This window comes from Homo sapiens, chromosome 8 (assembly GCF_000001405.40).
Source record: "Homo sapiens chromosome 8, GRCh38.p14 Primary Assembly".
Classification (NCBI taxonomy): domain Eukaryota; kingdom Metazoa; phylum Chordata; class Mammalia; order Primates; family Hominidae; genus Homo; species Homo sapiens.
In genome coordinates this window covers 81,933,640-81,941,185 of record NC_000008.11, presented here as the reverse complement: position 1 = coordinate 81,941,185, position 7,546 = coordinate 81,933,640, and the positions used below count along the sequence as shown (strand labels likewise).

Genomic DNA, 7,546 nt, shown 5'->3' with positions numbered 1-7,546 from the left:
TTTGAGTGAGGACACTACACTAGGAGATGATGGAGCAATGAGATAGAAAGAGATTGGTTCTTGAGGGCCTCCAGAAGCAGAGCTGCCTCCTTACATAGACCACAACCATCATCTTGACTGTTACACGAGAACATAAATCCCAGTCCTATGTTATCTGAGACCCTGTACTTCAGGTCTTTCTTTTGCTTTTTTTTTTTTTTTTTTAACATTATCTTAATGTTTTCCCTTGCCAATTTATCATTTAATGAGTTAGCGATCACATGGCTAGAGGTGGAGCCTTGACTTCAGAGCCCATAATCTTCCATGTACAGTAGGGAAATAAGCAAGTATTGTTGCAAAACCAAAAACTGCTATAGTGATTTTCTGGATCTTCTTAACATTCTCATACCCTGTGAGACAGAGCACCTTGAAAGTAATAACATATGCTTCCCTTTATTTTACCAGACTAAATCTAAAAATTTTAAAAATAGAGTAGGCAGAATGATAAGACTCTCCTACTCCCACAGAAACCATTATATACCCACTGCCAATTCTAGCAGAGGGAGCATGGCCATCTCCACAGCAGACCTGACCTGTGTTACGGACAGGAAGCTGAGCTGCACTGCAGAACTAGAAGGCTCTCATTGTGGGCATCTTCCTGCTATACCACCCAACCTCAGTCATGAGCTGCTCCCAAGGCCATTTCCCATTCTTCATTGTTCCACCACTGCATCCATCCCTGCACAAATCTTAATTTAGCCACACTATGTGTTTTTATGCCTCCATTTTCTTCCCTTATTCTTTCTCTAACCACAGATTTTTTTTACAATGATGTTGTTGCCTTTTGCTGATTTGTCAACCTCAGTAAAAGAAACACAGTTTACTTTAAAATATGCACAGAAGCCTGCATATGAAACAAAAGTTAACAACAAAAAACTTGTCCCAATTATCTGTGATAAAGAACATAATAAAGATAACATCTAAACCAAGTTTATTAATATTTACTTTATTAATATTTAAATATAATGCAGCTAATAATTGCCAGTATAAACAAAAGTTTGGAGTGATTTTACTCAATAGCATGAGTACACTTTCTTGTTCATTAGTTTGTTCCAAGGTGGAATGCACATAAACATAGATACATACTGATCTGATTCATCATGTCTGAGCCTATTTCTTTTGTTTTCAATCAGGTCTTGCTTGAAAATCCTAATTTACACAAACAGGTCATTTTGAATAGTATTAAAGCAATACACTCTATATAATAAGAAAATTGTTTAAACTTAATCAAAATTCATGATGTCATTCAAAAGACCACCAGGATGGCTAAATAGGAGAAAGGAGAGATTAACTGGTGATGGGGTTTGCAATCAGGAAGAGAACAAACATCTCCAGCATGGACTGAAGGTACTCTCTCTTCAAAGAGGGAAAGGACAGGTTGGGTTTTATTCCTCTCAGGAACAGTATCATACATATTCATCAGGTTTGCCTCTATATTTTTCACTTCATCCTTCCCATTCTTTTATTAATAAAATTATTTATTTAAAGGCAATTGTGCTACTTCAACTGAAATGTTACGTTTGTCTTAAATTCTAAAAAAGTCATATTTCATAAGCTCACTTTATTTTTTATTGATTGATTGTTTTTTGAGACAGAGTCTCTATCTGTTGCCCAGGCTAGAGTGCAGTGGCGTGATCTTGGCTCACACAACCTCCGCCTGCCAGGTTCAAGCAATTTTCCTGCCTCAACCTTCCAAATAGCTGGGATTACAGGCGTGTGCCACCACGCCCCGCTAATTTTTGTATTTTTAATAGAGACGGGGTTTCGCCATGTTGGCCAGGCTGGTCTAGAACTGACCTTGTGATCCACCCGCCTCAGCCTCCCAAAGTGTTGGGATTACAGGCGTGAGCCACTGCACCCAGCAAGGTTCCTTTTTTTTGAGACAGAGTCTAGCACTGTCGCCCAGGCTGGAGGGCAGTGGCGAGATGTCCGCTCACTGCAAGCTTCACCTCCCGGGTTCACGCCATTCTCCTGCCTCAGCCTCCCGAGCAACTGGGACTACAGGCGCCCGCCACCATGCCCGTCTAATTTTTTTGTATTTTTAGTAGAGGTGGGGTTTCACTGTGTTAACCAGGATGGTCTGGATCTCCTGACCTCGTGATCCGCCTGCCTCAGCCTCCCAAAGTGCTGGGATTACAAGCGTGAGCCACCGCGCCTGGCCCCGGCAAGGTTCTTTTTTAAAAAATGCCCATACACACTTAAACCAAGTTGAAAGCCTCAACACTTTGCCAGTTGTGAGTCAGTTTCTTTGCACCTTGCTTCACAATGAAATGCCAATTGTGTTAATATAAAATTAAATCATACAGTATTGGCCCAAATGTAAAATGGTCAATATAGCACTGTGTTCATGAGCACAGATTATAGAGGCAAACAGCCTGGTGCTGAACCTTGCTCCTCTTCATGCTTGCTGTGGACTCTGGACACATGACTGCACTCTGCCCATTTCTTCATCTGTAAAATGGGACTAAGAAGGGTCCTTAAATCATAGACTTGCAGTGATTATTAAATAATTAATGTACATAAAGTTCTTAGAACAGTCCCTGACACAGAATCAGGGCCTTTTTTGCATTAATTAATACTGTTATTATATGCCTCAAATTCAGAAAGCTATCTGAGAGCAAAAGATTAAATCTCTTTCCAGCCAAGATATTACATTTCTAACATCTCTTCCACTAATTGTATCACACACAGATTACAAGTGGCCACAGCATTAGTTCTGATGTGCTACAGATCTGTTCTCGCTACAGATCTCTATGATGCACTCAACTATTTTCTATTCTTTTTTATTTAATTTTATTTACATGCTGGCCACATAAATCTTCCCTCGAGAATCTTACAGGCTGCTTGACTGAGACCTGGAAGCTTAAAATAATAATCATGGAAATTTGGGGGAGAATTATAAAAACTGCTTAATCATTTTCTTCCCCTGGAGCTATGATAAATCCCCCAAACTGCACACTTCATAATGGGACAGGAGCAGGGTGGATGTTGAGAAGACCACCCCAATATTCACTATTGTGCATGTGTTATTGCGTACCTGTGAGTAAATACCTTGGGAAATTCTCATTTTCTGATCATTGGTTCTTAATATTGTTTAACTCCCACAATATGGGTTAAGACATATTTTAATAAAATCTCCTAGTGTTGTGTCAGTTCCTCTGAAATGCTGCTCATAATCCACTAAATTGACTGCATGTCCCATGAATAAGTTGTAATTTACAGTTTAAATACTCTGTGCTACCCCTGTAATCCCAGCTACTCGGGAGGCTGAGATAGGAGAATTGCTTGAATCTGGGAGGCAGAGATTGCAGTGAGCCGAGATGGGGCCACTGCACTCTGGCCTGACGACTCTGTGCTACCTATAATAACTGAGGAATCATTCTATGCCTACTCCTGGTTCAGCCTTAACAAAAATAAGGAAAAAAAAAAACGCAAACAACACGCAGCCAGGACCTTCTTCCAGTGTCCTCATCTGTCCCTTCCTGACCTTCACCGCATTTTATACCTTCATCACTGCCTAATGCTTTTTCTCTCCTTTCCTAACATCATAGTGTAGTATTGAAGAACACAAACACTGGAATTAGAGATCTGAATTGGAGCTTCAGCTTTGCCCCTTATTAGTTCTGTGACATTAGACAACACTGCTTACCACTCTGAGCCTCAGTTTTTTTACCTATATAAATGGGAATAAAATAATTAGCATATTAATAATATTAAAGTGAGGATGAAATGAAATAAGACATAAAGTATCTAGAACATGTAAAAGAACTCAATATATATTAACCATGACTGTTGCTATAGAAACCAACTCACATAATAAGGTAAACTGATTACTCATTGGTATAAATGATGGTTTAATGTTTCCATTCCGGGGCACTAGAAGTCTAAAACTAAAGCAAGAAATTTCTGAGTAAAGGATGTCAAGGATCGGTGAGTCGATGAAGAAGGAATTTTTATTGCCAAAGAGTGCTTTTCACATGTCCTAAAGTCACATAACAGACATACTTGACTGTTACTGGTAAAAAGGAAGAAGAAAAGAAAGGAAAAAGTAAATTTTTCCTAAAGAACACTGTCAAAATGTCTTTGTCTTCAGAGTTAGCCTGAAGGTGTTTCAGAGTTAAATGCAGTGAGGTAAATTATCTATCTTCTTTTAAGTCTAATATTTTAGGGAAAAAAAAGAGAGAACTTTGAGAAATGATTAGACACTGAGCTCTTTTGGAAAACAAGTCAAAAAATGAATTAGCTGACTTAAAATTGTTTTTAGAACCATTAACAATCTGCGTGACCCTCCAACCCTTCCCCGATGAATCTTCCAATTTGCCACATGCTATTTTATACTTTTGTTAAAATCTATTTATGCATTCACATTACTTATTCACAGCCAGGAGATCAGAGCCCTAAAACAGAAATCACATTAAATGCTACAGACAGAATGTGGAAAGGCTGTAAAATTACCCATCCATAGTTATGGACCTGTTATTAACCCTATGGCAACAAGCCAATTTAGAGAAGTTATTTAAAGTTGTCATTCAGGGAGTGTTAGCACTCCACTGTGGTTCTGTGCTTTTTATACCAATTACATTTGATTTATAAGTTTTCACTTTTGTGACGCCTAACATTTGGTCCTTGGTAGTATTGCCTTTTGCAGTTAGTTATAAGTAAGTAGAAATTATGTTTTATACTTGACAATAAATGCATTGAGTAGTTTTATGGTCTTGTTTTCAGTTTTACATTGTTCCTGAATTTTCAATTTCCCTCCAAAAAACAACTTCCATGGCCTCAGCTGCTACCCATGAGCTTGATTAGGTACTAAACTAAGGCACTCTCAGCTTGGGAGTTGGAGACGAGGAGTAAAGGAGGAAAAGCTGAATAATGTCTAGAGACAAAAAATAGTGAGCCGATATTCCATCCTTTAGATTCTACCTTTTTTAAACTGATTTGACATAGGAGTATCTTATGAGTAAATTGAATTTCAGTAAGCTTATCAGCTCTGGAATTGATCTTAATTCTTTCAAGTTATTGTAGGAATATATCACTCTTTAAATTGATGCTTCATCATACTAATCATTACACAGAAATGAAATGGTTAAAGAAGACCTAACTTATGACTGGGATAAAATGGGAGCATAAAAATAATCAAAACTTTGCATGTCTACCTAATTATTGATGAACTTTTCTGTACAATTGATTCTATTTTGAGATGAGCTTGGTCTATCCTTTAAAAATCATCTCATTATACTGTAATTATTATTCCTTCTAAATATACTTATTAAAAATGTATTCCATCTTTCTTAATGGATTAAAACTAAGCTGAAATAAATAATAGATGGAAACCAATTGCAAAGATATAGGTAGGCTATTACAGATGCCCCTTGATTTACAATGGGATTATGTCCCTGTAAACCCATGGTAAGTTGAAAATATTGTGAGTCAAAAATGCATTTAATACTGCCAACAACCCTATCATAAAGTGAAAAAATCATAAGTCAAACTATTGTAAGTCCAGATGCTCCTCTACTTACAATGGGGTTATGTCTCAATAAACCTATCATAAGGTCAAAAAATTATAAGTAGAACCATCATAAGTTGGGAACCATCTGTACTACTAATTGATTTATATCATCAACAACTCTTGAAAATGCTTTCATAATTTATAATGTTTTTATAGTAACCCTTACAAGAGTACAATACAATTTCATAAAGCTCAAAACCAAGGAAAATTAAACATATTATTTACCATATATATTATCACAAACTATGTTTATAAAAAGCAAATGAGTGATACACATTTATAACTAAATGAAAATTAGAAATAGAAATTTGAAGAGTGATCACTGTTGGAAGAAAGGCAAGGATATCGGATAAAGGAAGAACACAAAGATAAAAGCTATTCCTGGTGTCTAGGTAAAGCCTTCAAACTGTGGCCCAGAGGTCAAATCCAGTTGCAACTTCTTTGGTAAAGTTTCACTGGTACACAACCATGTGCATTTGTGCATATATTTTCAGTGGATGCTTTTGTGCTCCAACAGCAGAGTTGAATACTTGTGAAAAAGATATGACTTGCAAATCCTAAAATATTTGTTATCTCTTTAAAGAAAAATGTTGCTGACTCCTGATTTAGCCAACTAAAATTTAAAAGCCCTCCATTAATTGTTAGTTTATGTAGAATGATATACTGACCACTTCATTCACTTCAGCTTTACTTATCCTCATCCCTAAGCAGAAATTGTGAAGGCAGAAATGCTGAAGGCAGCATAAAATTACATACAAGCAGTGGAAGGAGCAATCAATACTGAAAAGATCAAGTTTTTTTGTTGTAGGTTTTCCAATCTGAAAAAAGTAAGAATCCAATATAGTCCTTCTATCATGGAACTAGGGAAGGGTTCTTAGCTTTGACCATAACAGAATGATAGAATAATTTTCCAGCCACCCACAGAGGCTAACCCTGTATGAACTGAAAGAGAACTTAATGTAAATATAAGGGAATGATTTTATATTATCCTCTAGATTTTAATTTTTTTTAACTTTTATATGTACTATTATTTTTTATTTTGTAGGTACACAGTATGTGTATATATTTATGGGATACATGAGTTATTTTGGTACAGACATGCAATATGTAATCACATCATGGAAAATCGGACATCCATCCCCTCAAGCATTTATCCTTTGTGTTACAAACAATCCAATTATACACTGTAAGTTATTTTTAAATGTATAATTAAATTATTATTGACTGTAGTCCTCCTGCTTTCAAATACTAGGTTTTAGATATTCTTTCTAATTTTTTGTTTTGTACCCATTAACCATCCCCACCTCCCTCTTCCCCACTATCCGTCCCAGTCTCTGGTAACCATACTTCTATTCTCTATTCTCTATCTCCATGAGTTCAATTGTTTGAATTTTCAGATCCCACAAAAAAGTGACAATACGTAGTGTTTGTGTTTCTGTGCCTGGCTAATTTCACTTAACATAAGGACCTCCAGTTCCATCCATGTTGTTGCAAATAACAGAATCTCATTCTTTTATGGCTGAATAGTACTCCATTATGTGTAAGTACCACATTTATGTATCCATTCATCTGTTGATGGACACTTAAGTTGCTTCCAAATCTTAGTTATTGTAAACAGTGTTGCAACAAACATGGGAGGGCAGGTATTTCTTCCATATACTGATTTCCTTTCTTTGGGATATATACTCAGCAGTGGAATTGATCGGTTGCCTCTGCTTGTAGGGTATTACTCAAGAAATTTTTGCCTATAACAATGTCCTGTATAGTTTCCAAAGTTTTATTGTATTAGTTTTATAGTTGGAGGTCTTGTATTTAAGTCTTTAATTCATTTTGTTTGATTTTTATATAAGGGGAGAGATAGGCATCAAATTTCATTCTTCTGCAGATGAATATCCAGTTTTCCCTGCACCATTTATTGAAGAGAGTGTTTTTTCCTCAGTGTATGTTCTTTGCACCTTTGTTGAAAATTAGTTCAATATAGATGTATAGATTTGT

General features: G+C 36.4%; 1 annotated feature.

Moving 5' to 3' along the window:
- Positions 1,943 to 2,513: an enhancer, noted in NCBI's record as "H3K4me1 hESC enhancer chr8:82850908-82851478 (GRCh37/hg19 assembly coordinates)". NCBI's record gives its function as "activates a minimal SCP1, AML or CMV promoter by ChIP-STARR-seq in naive H9 embryonic stem cells {active_cell/tissue: H9 hESC(naive)}" and the evidence as "EXISTENCE:reporter gene assay evidence [ECO:0000049][PMID:30033119]".